The sequence below is a fragment of the Homo sapiens genome, chromosome 2, assembly GCF_000001405.40.
Source record: "Homo sapiens chromosome 2, GRCh38.p14 Primary Assembly".
NCBI classification, from domain to species: Eukaryota; Metazoa; Chordata; class Mammalia; order Primates; family Hominidae; genus Homo; species Homo sapiens.
Window position 1 is genome coordinate 119,274,815 of NC_000002.12, and position 15,888 is coordinate 119,290,702.

A 15,888-nucleotide genomic window follows, 5' to 3' on the forward strand; every position below is an offset into this window, starting at 1 on the left:
CAGGAGAGACAATCCATTAGACCACAAAATAAGTCCCAATAAATTTTAAAAGATTAGAATTATAAAAAGTATGTTCGCCATAGAATAAAATTTGAAAACAATAACAAAAATTAATTTGGGAAATTCACAAATATGTGGAAATTAAAAAACACTCTTCTTAACCAAGAAGTCAAAGAACAAATAAGAGAACTTAGAAAAAAATTTGAGATGAAGGAAACAAAATAGCATACCAAAGTTTCTGGGGTACAGCTAAAGCGGTAGGTACTTGGAGGGAAATTTATAGCTGTAAATAACTGTATTTAAAAAGAAGAAAAATCTCAAATCAACTACTTAAACTATCATCTTAAGAAACTAGAAAAGCGGAGAAAACCAAATCTAAAGAAACCAGAAGGAAGGTAGCAACATAAATTGATACAGAAACTTGAGAAAACAATTTAGCATTATAATGTTGAGCCTTTACATACCCTAACAGCCTGTAATTTCTCCCCAAAGTATATTTAGAAAAATTCTTGTAGGTGGGCAATAGTGAATGTATATAAAAATATTCAATGTAGGCTGGATGCGGTAGCTCACGCCTATAATCCCAGCACTTTGGGAGGCCAAGGCTAGATCACCTGAGGTCAGGAGTTTGAGACCAGCGTGACCAACATGGTGAAACCCCGTCTCTACTAAAAATACAAAAATTAGCCAGGCATAGTGGTGCACACCAGTGATCCCAGCTACTTGGGAGGCTGAAGCAGGAGAATCACTTGAACCCAGGAGGCAGAGGTTGCAGTGAGCCGAGATCGTGCCATTGCACTCCAGCCTGGGCGACAGAGCAAGATTCCATCTCAAAAAAAAAAAAAAAATTCAATGTATATGAAAACAACATGAAGATTCTGAGAAGGTGGCAGCCTTGATGGTATAATTATTTAATCTCTTCAAATCCCCCATAAAGATACACAAAGCAGCCAGGATTGCAAAACTAAAAACCCATGGAAAATCCCTACAACAAACCAGATGACACTGAATCCCTACAAACCCTAAAACATAAATGGGTGGAGACACACCTACAAGATCTGCATGGTATCAGCAGCTGTGTTGGAGGACACAGAAGGAAGCAACAGAGCACCTGGTAGGCCTCAGAACTGTGAGGTCCTAACAAGGGGAAAGAAGTCAGGCTGGCAGGAGCAGAGGAAGCAAAAAACAGAAAGCAGATAAGGTATAAGGGATTTTATAAGGTCCAAAACACATAGCCCTCCTGTACAAATAACTCACAATCTTCCTGTTCTCAACTGTGCCTTCCTGTGCCAACCCTCAACTAATAAAATAATGCAATTTAGTTCCCTGCAACCTTGGCATTATCAGTACTGCGCAAAGCCCTCTTCAGCACATAGCACAAGCACCATCCTATAAAATCCCCAGGAAGCCTATGTTTCCTTGCAGTCAGTTCCTCTCTTGCTAACCTGCCTGTTGCATCCTTGCAACCTATTTGCCTACTTTCTCTAATAAATCTGCCTATTTTAAACCTACAACTGTCTTGGCAAATTCTTCTTACTGCCCATGCTACTGGCCCAGATAGTCACTGATCACCTGCAACAAGAACTTTAAAATAATCAAGAAACAACTATTGTAAAGCCACCAGGCAGGTGGAGGACAGCACCTGACCCAGGGAGGTATTTGTATCCTTCAGTAAAAGCATGTGAGTTCCAAAGGTAAAGTCAGAAGAGGCCAGGGAAGACTGGGCCTAATAAACACTCCAAACTAACCAGCCCAAGCCCCTATCCAGAATAGAACCCCAGCTGGGAACAGACTCCAAATTGAGCACTTCAGGAAAATAGAGAAAAGCAAAAAAGAGAACCCAGACTACAGTAGGGGAGAACGGAATGGAAGTTCTCAGGAAGTGAGGTGCCCTATTTTTAAAATACTGAACAAAAACAACAGAAGAGAGTGCTCTACCATTGTGAAATGAGAAAAACCCTTAAATTATACCTCCTTTCAAAAAGTTCAGGAAATCTAATATTATGTAAACATAAGTAGCAGAAAAGGATTGAAGTCAAATCCCACACGGTTATTCAAAGAAAAAATAAAAAGTAGAATAACATCCCTGCAGACGATAAAAGCATGCCAGAGAAACACACGGGTGAAAACGACAGCCTAATATTTTGACATAAAAGCAAAGGGAAGGGAGGGGAGGGGAGGAAGGCACAGCTCATCTGTGGTATTCAGTAATGGGGAGCACAACTGCAAAGAAAAGAGGCAATGAGCACAAAAGCCAGGCTGGCGTTTACTCTTGGAGGAGGGGCGTGGCATTGCATTTGGGAAAGTGAGCCTGGCAGGCTTATGGGGTCAGAGTCAGCTTCCTTTATGTGGGGATGTTTAAAGGTGTTTATCTTGTAATTTCGTTAACCTCTCATTTTGTCTTATGCTATATATACACGTATATGTATAACGGTGTTTTTTGGTTTTGGTTTTGGCTTGTTTTTTGTTTTTGTTTTTGAGATGGAGTGTCACTCTGTCGCCCAGGCTAGAGTGCAATGGCGCGATCTCGGCTCACTGAACCTCCTAGGTTCAAGCGATTCTCCTGCCTCAGCCTTCGGAGTAGCTGGGACTACAGGCGCCCACTACCATACCTGGATGATTTTGGTATTCTTAGTAGAGATGGGGTTTCACCATGTCAGCCAGGCTGGTCTCAAACTCCTGACCTCAAGTGATCAGCCTGCCTTGGCCTCCCAAAATGCTAGGATTACAGGCATAAGCCACCGCGCCTGGCCATAATGGTTTCTTTTTTAGCAACTAAATTTGTTTAAAAGAGTGTTGATTTCAGTATTGTTCATAATTGCCCCAAACTCCATTGACAGGAGGGCATGAATAAATTGTGCTATTCAGATGATGGCCTGTTATTCAGCAATGAAAATAAATTACCTATTCTTCCAGTGAAACTTAGAGACATGATTATGGACAGGGAAAAAAACAAGTATCAAAAACCTACATGCTATATGATACCATTTTTATAAGCCTTAGAAACCAAGCAAAAATGAAACAGTGTATTATTTAGGAATACATACATATGTGATTTTTGAAACTATATTTTAAGGAAGCAAGGCTGGCAAACGCAAAATTTAGGATAGACTGTATACCACGATAACATTTTTATAATGCTCAGAAATCAGCAAAAATTAAACAATATTGTTTAGGAATAAGTAGACCCGTGATTTTTAAAACTATTCTTTAAAAAAGCAGGGGAATGATAAACCCAAAATTCAAGCTGGTTTTTATTTCTAGGGAAGCAAGGAGCATGGGATAGGGGAGCTAGACCCAAGTTTTCTTCCTAGGTCGTGTGGTAGGTTCACAGTATACTTTTGATTATCATGTTTCATGATTCACAAATGTGTTTTATATGAAGACTTTATCAGATCTGCACACTAAGAATACAAATTAAAAATTGAATTCTCTTTTTCATCAGCAATTCATCTGTTCATTCATTCAGTTATGCAACAAATAGGTATTGTGTGCCCGCCCTACGCCAGGCCCTGTGCTAGGTCCTAGGATAGGGCAGTGAGCAGACACCATGGCTGTCCTCTCAAAGTTCACAGCCTCCTGGGACTTTCTACGCCACTGGTGATGGGGCCAAGTGGGAAATGGCTTTTTACAAATCTGCAGAGAGCACTATTTACAATAGCAAAGACTTGGAACCAACCCAAAGGTCCATCAATGATACACTGGATAAAGAAAATGTGGCACATATACACCATGGGATACTATGCAGCCATGAAAAAGAATGAGTCCATGTCCTTTGCAGGGACATGGATGAAGCTGGAAGCCATTATCCTCAGTAAACTAACGCAAAAGCAGAAAACCAAACACCACATGTTCTCACTCATAAGTGGGAGCTGAACAATGAGAACACATGGACACAGGGAGGGGAACATCACACACTGGGGCCTGTCAGGAGTTGGGGGCAAGGGGAGGGAGAGCATTAGGATGAATACCTAGTGAATGCAGGGCTTAAAACCCAGATGACAGGTTGATAGATGCGGCAAACCACCATGGCACATGTATACCTATAAACCTGCACATTCTACACATGTATCCCAGAATTTAAAGTAAAAAAAAAAAAATCTGCAGAGAGTAAGAGCCAGGACAATCCATAATCAGGACCTTCCATTTCAGGATAACCAGGAAATACCTTGTTGGTATGACTTGAGGGAGGTAATTTTTAAATTAAGATAGTTAAGGCAGCCAACAGGAGACAGCAAAAACAGCAGACAGGCACTCCAGGCCGGTGGTTCCCAATACTGCCAATGTTGTTCCCCAGAGAAGTTTTCATCATCTTAAGCAATGTGATATGCACATGCATGCAAACATGCACACGCACACGGGTTATTCGGAGTTTATTTCCTCCCTATGTTTCTGTGTTAGGATCTCCTTTCATTTACGTATTGATAGTGATGATAGACAGTGGTCGGACTTTGTTTAGGGAACTGTGGTTTGGTTTTTAATGTCCATACTTAGTAAAATAAAGAGCTGCCAAATCCAAATCAATCTCTAAGATTTAAATTCTTCATTATGTAAACCCTGAAGTTTGAGAATCATGGTCCAGTCATGTTTGAACCTAGCACTTTCCTTTTTGAGTAGGAAGACTGAGGTCACTTTTCTCTTTTTTTTTTTTTTTTTTTTTTTTGAGACAAAGTCTCACTCTTGTCACCCAGGCTGGAGTGCAGTGGCACAATCTCAGCTCACTGCAACCTCCACCTCCCAGGTCCAAGTGATTCTCCTGCCTCAGCCTCCTGAGTAGCTGGGATTATAGGTGCCCACCACCATGCCTGGCTGATTTTTGTATTTTTAGTAGAGACGGGGTTTCTCCATGTTAGCCAGGCTGGTCTCAAATTCCTGACCTCAGGTGATCCGCCTGCCTGGGCCTCCCAAAGTGCTGGGATTACAGGCCTGCGCCACTGCACCTGGCCTGAGGTCACTTTTCAATACTTGGTTAAGACCTTGCTTGGCCTCAGGAGTAGCCTGGCCTTGACTCCCTGCCCAGCACCACCCCCATCCGTAGGGCCTGGAGGAGTTCCTCAGCTTATCTCTGAGCAGAGCTGAAAACCACCCTATGGCTGACACCAAGGTGAAAGGAAAGGACTGGTACCTAATAGCAAAAGCAGCAGTATATGTGTGTGCATGTGTGTATTACTACAAATACATCTGTTCCGGCAAGGTATCTCTACTACAGAATCAACCCGCGGGAATGTTTAGCTGAGGCTCCAGAGACCCTGTTGAGGAGTGTGCCGTGTCTGAGGTCAAGTAAGTGCTTAATCCACTAGCTCCTTCTTCCTTGTATCTGCCAGTGTGGCCAGCCGCTGCATCCATTTCCGTTCACCTCCACCATATCTGCCATTTCCACCCAGGCTTGGACCTCATTTCTTTATATCAACGTTTCCTTCAAATCTACTCACTTGTTTTCCCTGAAAATGTTTGTTTGTTTGTTTGTTTGTTTGTTTGTTTGGAGACGGAGTCTCGCTCTGTCTCCCAAGCTGGAGTGCAATGGTGCGATCTCAGCTCACTGCAAACTCCACCTCCCGGGTTCAAGCGATTCTCCTGCCTCAGCCTCTGGAGTAGCTGGAATTACAGGCGCCCACCACCACACCTGGCTAATTTTTGTATTTTTAGTAGAGATGGGGTTTCACCATGTTGGCCAGACTGATCTCGAACTCCAGACCTCAGGTGATCCACCTGCCTTGGCCTCCCAAAGTGCTAGGATTACATGCGTGAGCCACGGCGCCCGGCCTGAAAACATTAATTTTTAATGTTCCCTATGGAGAGGCAGCATAGCACAGAGGTTAAAAACACAAAATCCAGGCCAGACATGGGGACTCAGGCCTGTAATCACAGGAATCCGGGAGGCAGGAGGATCACTGGAGTCCAGGGGTTCAAGACCAGCTTGGGCAACATAGTGAGACCCCATCTCTACAAAAAATTTTTTTAAAATATTACTCAAGCTGGTAGTGCACAACTGTAGTTCCAGCTTCTCAGGAGGCTGAGTTGAGAGGATCACTTGAGTCCAGGAGGTCAAGGCTGCAGTGAGCCATGATTGCACCACAGCACTCCGGCCTGGCTGACAGCAAGACGCTATCTCTAAAAAAAAATGGTAAAAAAAAAAAAAGGAACACAAAATCTGGAGCCACACTGCCAGGGTTTCAGCACCACTTCTACTACTTCCTAACCCGATTTAACCTCCTCTTGCCTCAGTTTCCCCAGCTATAAAATGAGGGTGATTATAGTTCTTACCACATAGGTTTGTAATTAGGTTATGAGAAAAATGACAGCTTCTCTTTTAACTTAATTTTATTTTTAGCTTTTATTTTAGGTTCGGTGTTACACAGGAAAACTCATCTCATGGGGGTTTGTTGTACAGATTATTTCATCACCCGGGTATTAAGCCCAGTACCCAAAAGTTATCTTTTCTGCTCCTCTCCCTCCTCCCAACTTCCACCCTCAAGTAGGCCTCGGTGTCTGCTGTTCCCCTCTTTGTGTCCACGTGTTCTCATCATTTAGCTCCCACTTATAACTGAGGATATGTGGTATTTGGTTTTCCGTTCCAAGAGTTTCTCTTAGGCTGAGGTGGGAGGATAGCTTGAGCCAGGGTGGTCGAGGCTGCAGTGAGCTGCCATCCTGCCACTGCACTCCAGCCTGGGGTGACAGAGTGAGACCCTACCACAAAGAAAATAAAAAGAGAGAGAGAGAGAGAATGAGAATGACAGAGAGAGAAAAAACAGTTTCTCTTTTTAAGGTATTTAAAACAGATCTTCCACAGAGTAAGTGCTATATAAGCGTTTGCTAAATAAACATCCTAACATGAATAGGAAACCGTTATTACTGGCTATAAGACCTTAAAGCAGTTACAACCTCAAAATAAATAAAAACAAAATAATATGATTAAATTCTAGCTAGATTTTTTACCTGCTAAAATGCTTGGTGGAGACCCGCTCTCAAAAGAACAGAGAGAGGGAAGCAAGTGAAGTCTTAAGGACGTTGCCATCACCAAACTGAAACCTCTTCCTCACTCAACCAGAAGACCTGAAAGAAAACTGAAGTAACAGTAACTGTCTTACTGCGCTACCCACCCTCAACCATCCCCAGGCCCACTAGGAGCATGTTGTACATGTTCTGGAAAGTTCTGGAAAGGCCATTAAGATATAAAAATTGGTAGCCAGGTGTGGTGGTGGACGCCTGCAATCCCAGCTACTCGGGAGGCTGAGGCAGGAGAATCACTTGAATCCAGGAGGTGGAGGTTGCAGGGAGCCGAGATCATGCCATTGCACTCCAGCCTGGGCAACAGAGCCAGACTCCGTCTCAAAGAAAAAAAAAAAGATATAAAAAGTTGGGAAAGTGAGAGGTGTCCCGAGAAGCCCACATACATGAAAAATGAAACCAGGCAATCCTATGTGGATCTATTTATCACAAACGCCGCTGGGCTGCAAGTGAAATCTCTTATACCAATAGGTCGGCTCTGATGCAGGGAGTCTGTTTTCACTTTGAACTGCTGTTCATGGCGCTGCCAGGGTGGGACTGTCACTCACCAAGCCTCCTTCCTGTCCTTGGTCTGGGGTGATTCGGCACTTCCCAGTAGGTGACTCCAGATGACAGCCAACAGCCAGCTTGCTCCTGTTCTCTTTCGCAGGCAGAGCTGGCTCTTAATTTTCATGCATTTATTCTTTAGCCACTTGAGACGCCTGGCTGGAGGGATGGGTAAGAGATTTGGCATCTTGGTGCCTCCAAGCCTCCCGTCCAGCATGGTCCAGGTTAACAAACACCTGTAAAGCGTCCGTCTCTGCCGGCCCTGACGGACAGGGTGAGCACCCCGGTGCATCCTCCCTCCTAAGAGGATTAAGCGGGGTGTTTGGAAAACAGAGCTGCATCCCTGGAGGGAAGGTGCCACAGAGACATCAACACACAGTTCTGCATAATCGGTTCAACAGCAGAACAACAAAAAGGGGAAGAGAAGATTAAAAAATAATCCAAATGTCATAATACTGAGGAGTGTGATGAAATGGGCAATCGGGTGGAAGCATTAAACCTAGAATCACTAACCACCCCCGCTTCACTCTTCAAAACTCAAGGCTGCGGGGGGAAACAACATGCTCGTCCTTGGGAGAGCTCCTCTAAGCCCCTCCTGAAAGACGGATGTCCACTTCTGAGGCTGTCTTTGAGGATGGGCACAGGGGAAGCTGTGGCAGTCCAGCCACTCTGCGGGGATGTCATGAATAATTAGCAGGGTCCTTCACAGTGGAGGGCAGCCCTAGTCTCTCTCCCTCTTCCTTGGTGGGAAGGAAGCCCAAGTCCCTGAGAGACACTGGTGAACATCTCCCTGGAGGCTTTGGGCTGACTGTCAACAGTGGCACCAAGGTGTAGCTCGGGGCAGGGGTGCAGGCGCTTAGCACTCAGCAAGATCTGTGGGCCTCCTCCCTGCCTCCCATTCTTTGTCATGAGCTTGGCAATGGAAGCTTCCAGTCCGCCTCTCAGTGCTGCACCCCCTCTGCCCACACTCCTGGGCATCCAGCCCAGGGCCTGCCTTGGTGCCAGCTCTGCCCTTCCTGCCTCCTCCTTCCTGCTTTGCCTTCTCCCCCTCTCTCTTCCCCATATCCATTTCTATTTTACAATGGTTCTTTTGGTTTTTTTGTTTTTGTTTTTGTTTTTTTCTTGAGAGGGAGTCTGGCCCTGTTGCCCAGGCTGGAGTGCAGTGGCGCCATCTTGGCTCACTGCAGCCTCTGCCTCCTGAGTTCAAGCGATTCTCCTGCCCCAGCCTCTGGAGTAGCTGAGATTACAGGCGCCCACCACCACGCCCAGCTAATTTTTGTATTTTTAGTAGAGATGGGGTTTCACCATGTTGGCCAGCCTGGTCTTGAACTCCTGACCTCAAATGATCCAACCGCCTCAGCCTCCCAAAGTGCTTGGATTACAGGTGTGAGCCACTGCACCTGGCCCTATTTTACAATGTTTAATGACCCAAACTTGAGGATTTTTCCACTTCTCTACACCATATAATCAAATCAAAAAATCAGATATTAGGCTTTGACAATGGGACTGAATCTTGGAAACTGGAAAGTCCAGTCTCAGGACATCCCGGAAAGTTGAGCACACAAGCAAGTCCCATGCAACTGTGTGATGAAACAGCCCCACACATCCGGGAGCACAGCCAAGGCGTCCTGTGCCACCTCCCTGGTAGAATCTGGCTTTTCAACTTGCTCACCCATGAGAGGAAAGCGGTTTTAGACATCAGGCTTACCCCTCTCCTAAGCCACACCCTTTTCTCATTCCCAGCTGAGGAACTGAGCCTGAGACACTGAGGTTCCCAGCTGCCTCCATGATTCGCCAGCACCCAGCTTCAGTTTCACATCCTCCCAATCGTCATAGCCAGGACAGCATGCCTCACTGACCACGAGGGAATGTCACATCCCGCCTGGCTGAGCCATGCCGCAGACAGGCTCCTGGCTAAGCACTTGGCCGACACCCCAATATTCAATGCTGACACACCACAAAGGCATAAGTAGGCTAATTTTGCGGATGATGAAAATAGGACTCAAACCAAACTGTGTACAGTTGTAGGGCTTATTGAGGGCAGAAAACTTCTCCACAGCAGGTCTCTGGCAACCCAGAGCCCCTCCCTGCACTCCTGCGTCCCTGTCACTGCACCCATAGAGCCCCCAAGAGGCCTCAGTGGATCACCGGGCTTGCATAATTTTTATCTGGGCATACATTACCAAATTACCTCCACCCCAAAAATACCGTTCCAGGTTTCCTGTTACTATACGGAAACACTGATGTACATCATCAGCCTGTGTTCATTTTGTATACTCTCCATATAGTGGGTGGGTTGTTTTGGGATTTTGGTTTTTTTTTTTTTTGCAACCTAAAAGCTAAAATACTTTTCATGTTTAAAACTGAAATTCATATGCATGGACAGGACATTTTTAAAAGTAAATATTTCATGGGTATTTGTCAACAGAATCTTATGGTTGATAATTTTGTAAACGATTTAACCCATCATTTCATGTGAATAAATTAAGATTTGAATATCTATAGGTAGCATAAGGTGAAAAACCTCTAAAATTTGAACCCGTATTCTGGGATGGGAGACCTTAGGCAAATTAACCTGTCTGAGCTTCAGTTTTCTCATTTGTAAGAAGGGGATGTAATATCTGTGTTCCAGGATTGTGGCGGAGATCAGAGGAGGTCATCTACCAAAAAGCCCCCACCATCCTCACAAAATACCATTATTCTCATCATTTCATTCTTAGGTTGACTTAAATAGGGAATACAAATGTATTTACATATTCTTATTAAATTCTTAACAATCTGATAATTTATTCAAATCCAAATCATATGTAGATAATAAAATTATCTACTGTGCATAAAACCATTAGAAAAGAATGACTCAATAACTATCACCTGACATTTTATTTAACATGATATAGTGCGATAGTCTCGGCACAAAGTGACCTTAACTGCTTCCAAATTCCTTCCTTATTTTTCCTGTAACAAATCATATGGTGAAGGAAGACCTTCATCAGGGTCACGTAACTTGGAGGAGCTTCTTGGGGGAAGTGCACAGGCATCTCTGCGGGCTGTGGAGGAAAAGGCCCCGGAATTGGCCCCAGTGGGGCTTTTTCCCAAGAGGATCTGTCCCGTTTCCCTGTTCATGTGTTGCGTCCTCAGTAGCTGGGACCCCATTTTCTCTGTCGTATCCCACCCCCAACACCTGACCAACTCAAATCAGCACATATATTTTAAACAGGTAGTGGATATCCAACACTGTGTCAGGGCATGGAGAAAATGGAAAAGAAACCAAAATTGTGGTCCTAGTGCTGAGACACAGGTAATCTCATCAAGCAATTTGGGCAGAGGCTGAGTTACCTGGATATTATTGCTGGTATCTGAATTTCTTAATATAAGTTCCAGAAAGCCTGGTAACTTTTAGAAGAGTATATGGTATAGCAAGGAAAGTGAATCCATTCATTCATGCAGAAATAACAGACCCTTGCATTTATCAACTCCCAGTGTGTGCAGGCCATGGAGATGCAAGAGTAAGCCTGATCTTCAACCTCAGGGAGAGCCACATCGTTTGGGGAAGGTCAGTATATAAAAAAGCAAGGCCGGCCAGGCACAGTGGCTCACGCCTGTAATCCCAGCACTTTGGGAGGCCAAGGCGGGCGGATCACGAGGTCAAGAGATCGAGACCATCCTGGCCAACATGGTGAAACCCCATCTCTACTAAAAATACAAAAATTAGCTGGGCATAGTGGTGGGCACCTGTAGTCCCAGCTACTTGGGAGGCTAAGACAGGAGAATTGCTTGAACCCAGGAGGCAGAGGCTGCAGTGAGCCAAGATCATGCCGCCGCACTCCAGCCTGGTGACAGAGCAGGACTCCATCTCAAAAAAAAAAAAAAAAAAAAAAAGCAAGGCCACAGTGTGTGATCAGTGCTCCAGAGGACTGGCCAGCACACAGCAGGATGAAAAGGAGAGCAGGGACCAGTCTCCTGGCTGTGAAGTGCTGGGAAGGTGGGATGGAAAGGACCTTAAGGACAAGATGGTCCTTGGTTGTGCCTCCCAGGATGAATGCTAGTCTGGTGGAACATTCAGAGACCAGAGTGGGAAGTCTGAGAAAGTGGCAGCATGGTGTGCCCAGAGAGAACAGGGTAAGGGGACAGGGGAGAGCTGGGGGAGACAGGAGGAGGTGCCAAATTCCATAGCTGGAGGAGAAGCTGGAGATGTAGCCAGAGATCAAACCAAAGAAGCCCCACTACACCATGCCAGAGTGTGCTCGTGATTCGGAAGGAAACAAGGACCCATCCGATGGTTCTGAACAGGGAGGGATACAGCAGTCAGACTTGCATTTTTAAAAGATCACTCTGGCAGCGGCATGAAGGCTGGACTCGGTGGATGAGAGTCTGCAGGGAAGGACACCAGACGGGAGAGTGTCTCTGCGGTCAGGATGAGAAATGATGAGGCCCAAAGCAGGGCAATGGCGGTGGGAAGGGAAGGGGAGGCCGTTCTCATGAGATGTTCATTCCAGCAATTCTGAGCTGACTTCTGTTGAGGAGGTATCAGCAAGTAGTGAAAGGCAAAGAAGGGTTTCACTTGCTCCAGCTATGGACTAGGAATTTCTTCTTAGTACCCCCAGTGAGCAGAAGAACCTTCTTTCACCTGCGAAGTCCCTCCTGATGGTTGGTTCTGGCAGGCTCCATCACTTAGGAGCTGGGAAACCTCGGGCAGGTCACTTTACCTCCAAGTGCCCCTTCCCCATCTGTAAGATGCAGATAACTAGTACCTACCTCACAGGGGTTGTGAGCAGTAGTGAGTAAATATCTGCAAAGTGCTTTAGTGAGGCCTGACAGGGCAAGCACTTGATAAATGCTGGCTGTTTTATGCCTGGCTCAGTCTCGCTTCTGATGGCTTGTCCTGCAGAGCTTGCTGGACCTTGCTGGAAAAATACTTGAAATTTTGAAATATGGCTTTTGTCACATATGCAATATCCACATAATGGAAGTGCCTACCAGCCAGAAACCAGGCAACTATCACACCTCAGTCCCCACCAGCTCACCATCACAGGTTCCCATGTACATACATACACACCGCCCGAGACCCTCTCCCACAACCCCACCACAAGGGCCTCTGCCCTCAAGTATACAACTTTAGAGGGTTATTTGAAAGCAGGGCTAATAACATGTTTTTTTTTTTAATAAGACATCACATATACATTTTTAAGATGGGAAGTCTCTGTTTTTGTTGAGAACAACAAAGGGGAATATGACATGGAAGATCTGAGGAGACGTGATATTTGTTCGAAGACATTGAGGCTCTTTCTTGATTCCTTGAGTTTTTTTTCATGGCAGAAATTTTTAACTGACATGAAGTTCTGGTTATGAAGGAAATTCTAGAAGACAACACATCTTCTCTCCTTACTCCTGAAGGAAGAGGTTAGATTTGGACGCAACTGTGTGTGTTTAAAATAAAATGGCATTGTTCTTACTTAAATTCCAATTTCTTATAATATTAGAGTTGGTCTTCAGTTAGTTGGTTGTGTTGGGAGAGTGATTTGGACCATATACATTACCCTCAAATATTCAAAAATGAAGGCCCAAATTTACCTATGGTGACAGAAATCACAGCAGTAGTGGCTGATGACAGAGGGCAGTGGTGGGTGATGACAGAGGGGCAGAGAGGGGACTGTGATGGCACAAAGGAGGTTTTGGGGGTGGTGGGCATGTTCTGCATCTTGACTTAGATGTGGGTCGTGCACTTGTCAAAACCCAAAGAACTGCATATCTAAGATCTTTGCATTTCACCATCTGTAAATTATACTTCAATTTTTTTTTTTTTTTTGAGACAGAGTCTCACTCTGTCGCCCAGGCTGGAGTGCAGTGACGCCATCTCGGCTCACTGCAAGCTCCGCCTTCCGGGTTCCCGCCATTCTCCTGCCTCAGCCTCCCGAGTAGCTCGGACTACAGGCGCCTGCCACTGCGCCCAGCTAATTTTTTGTATTTTTAGTAGAGACGGGGTTTCACCGTGGTCTCTATCTCCTGACCTCGTGATCCACCCACCTCAGCCTCCCAAAGTGCTGGGATTACAGTATACTTCAATTTTAAAAAAGTAAGGGAGAGAGCAAGCAAGCAGATTTCCAAAGTTAAACATGAGAGGCTGATTATTCATTTACATCATCTCCTCTGAAAACCCCATTAAGATGGGAGTAAGGGGATAATACAAACATAAACTCATGAAGACAAAGAGACCCAGAGAGAGGACATCGAGGACAAGAGAGTTGATCCAAGTTTTGAAGGCGGGAAGTGGATGGAAGGGTGGAATTGTAAGAGCAGAGAAAGCTCCAACCCCGACACTGGCAGAAAGCACCATCCACCAGAAGCTAGACACTCACCCTCAGAACCTGGAAGCCGCAGGCCTTGCTCAGGCCAGAGACTGGAGAGGAGGCACTCACCTGCTTAGGGTCAGCTATTCCCCTCTGAGGACAAGTCACCTCCCCAGAACAAGACACGTGGCAATGGTAGAACCCACAAGCTCCATCCCCTCAGCCTTGGTGAGTCACTCCAGCCCCCAGCCTCCTCTCCCTCTCTTACACCTCAAGCCTTCTAGCAAAATTTCCCTGACTCTCGAAGGCTTTCAGGGAAAACCGAAATAATCTGTCTTCAAGCTGCTCTACTTTCAAGTGTATAAGCAACCCTGGGCCAAGACACTGAAAAAGCCAACATGTTGGAAAGAGAGGAAGAGAGAATACAGAGAGAATTGCTGGCTCTAGAAACTACTCTGTCCCTTTGACTTGGAGCCCGAGGAAGGCCAGTTACCAGGACCTTTGCAGGCAGGTCCCAACGCATTTCTAGCAAACACGGGGGCCTTAAGGCTGCAGAATGTGCGCTATGTCAGGAGGTCTCATGCAGCCAGAAGGTAGGGACATACTGTACTCTGCCTCAAATCAGCCTTCTTAAGATTCTACTCTCCTGTGGTTTAGCTTCTGTGTTCCATCTTGCACTTAACCAAGTCTCCTTGACATCTTAGTCTGGAAGCGTCTACCAGCTGTGGTGTCTGCATTAAAGCGCAGGGTGGCCGGGCGCAGTGGCTCACGCCTGTAATCCTAGCACTTTGGGAGGCTGACGTGGGCAGATCAGGAGGTCAAGTGATCGAGACCATCCTGGCCAACACGGTGAAACCTCATCTCTACTAAAAATACAAAAATTAGCTGGGCGTGGTGGCACGCGCCTATAGTCCCAGCTACTTGGGAGGCTGAGGCAGGAGAATCGATTGAACCCAGGAGGCGGAGGTTGCAGTGAGCCGAGATCGTACCACTGCACTCCAGCCTGGCGACAGAGTGAGACTCCGTCTCAAGAAAAAAAAAAAAAGTGCAGGGTGGCTTTGACAGGACTGGGGACTGGAATTAGACACCAAGGGGGTCCACAGAGCTATAAAGAGACCCTGCCACTTTAGACCTTGTCTCAGGCCCCGCTCGTAGCCCCAACTCAGCCCTCTGCCGGTAGTAGTTCTCTGCTGTCAGCCACACCCAGCTAAGCCAGGAAGAGAGACCACAGAGGCACCGCTCTGCACCAGGGCAGACTGGTTTTTATTCTGTCTGCTGCCTTAAAGTGAGATTTCTTAATTTTTAAAATAACCTAGAAACAAACATAGGGTTTTGTACACTATCCAAAGAGTTACTGGCATTGCCTAATTATGTGTGAGAACATTCAGTCTTCAGAAGGGAAGAGGGACATTCCCTCTGCAAAGTAATTCCTGCGTCCCTGCCCCTGCATGGGAGTCACCATTTGACCCCAAAGCTCTGGGCACTGCTTACAGGCTCACATATGCCCAAGCTAAAGGACAGCTTCCAAGCCCCTCCACCAAGCAGAAGAACGTCTCCCTGCAATTGGTTTGAGAAGGAATTTTTTAAGCACCTCACCTGGGCCAAATGGAGGAGGCTGCCTATCAATTGTTGTACTAGGAAGCATTTAACACAGAAGCCATAGAAACCGGCTCACGACCTTTCAACCTTCAGCTTTAAGGAATCCTCAACAAATATACAGGGACGTTTTCCAAAGCGTTGACACATTATTAGTCTTCTTTTTAGAAATGGCCCATCATTAAATAGAGTGGTATAAAAGAAAAAGAAGGAAATAAGACTATAGAGGTAAAACTGACTAAAGTTAGGTATTGGCTTTGAAATAATTAAGCATTGACTTTTAAAATAAAATTTTAGGCTGGGAGTGGTGGCTCATGCCTGTAATGCCAGCACTTTGGGAGGCGAAGGCGGGTGGATCACCTGAGGTAAGGAGTTCGAGACCAACCCGGCCAACATGGCAAAACCCTGTCTCTACTAAAAATACAAAAATTAGCCTGGCGTGGCATTGCAC

The 15,888-nt window shown here is 45.6% G+C and overlaps 1 protein-coding gene across 3 annotated transcripts in view; it reads right to left on the reverse strand.

Moving 5' to 3' along the window:
- Positions 1-6,315: 6,315 nt before the first annotated feature.
- Positions 6,316-15,888, reverse strand: part of C2orf76 (chromosome 2 open reading frame 76) — an 86,022-nt gene continuing 76,449 nt past the window's right edge. For 2 of the 3 annotated variants that reach the window (XR_007069611.1, XR_007069609.1), the window contains 3 exons: positions 7,557-7,713; positions 6,937-7,053; positions 6,316-6,687 (listed from right to left, as the gene is read on the reverse strand). The gene's annotated coding sequence lies outside the window, so the exon portion shown is untranslated. Of the gene's footprint in view, positions 6,688-6,936; positions 7,065-7,556; positions 7,714-15,888 lie in introns of all 3 variants that reach the window. The other variant, XR_001738623.3, reaches the window with a different exon arrangement.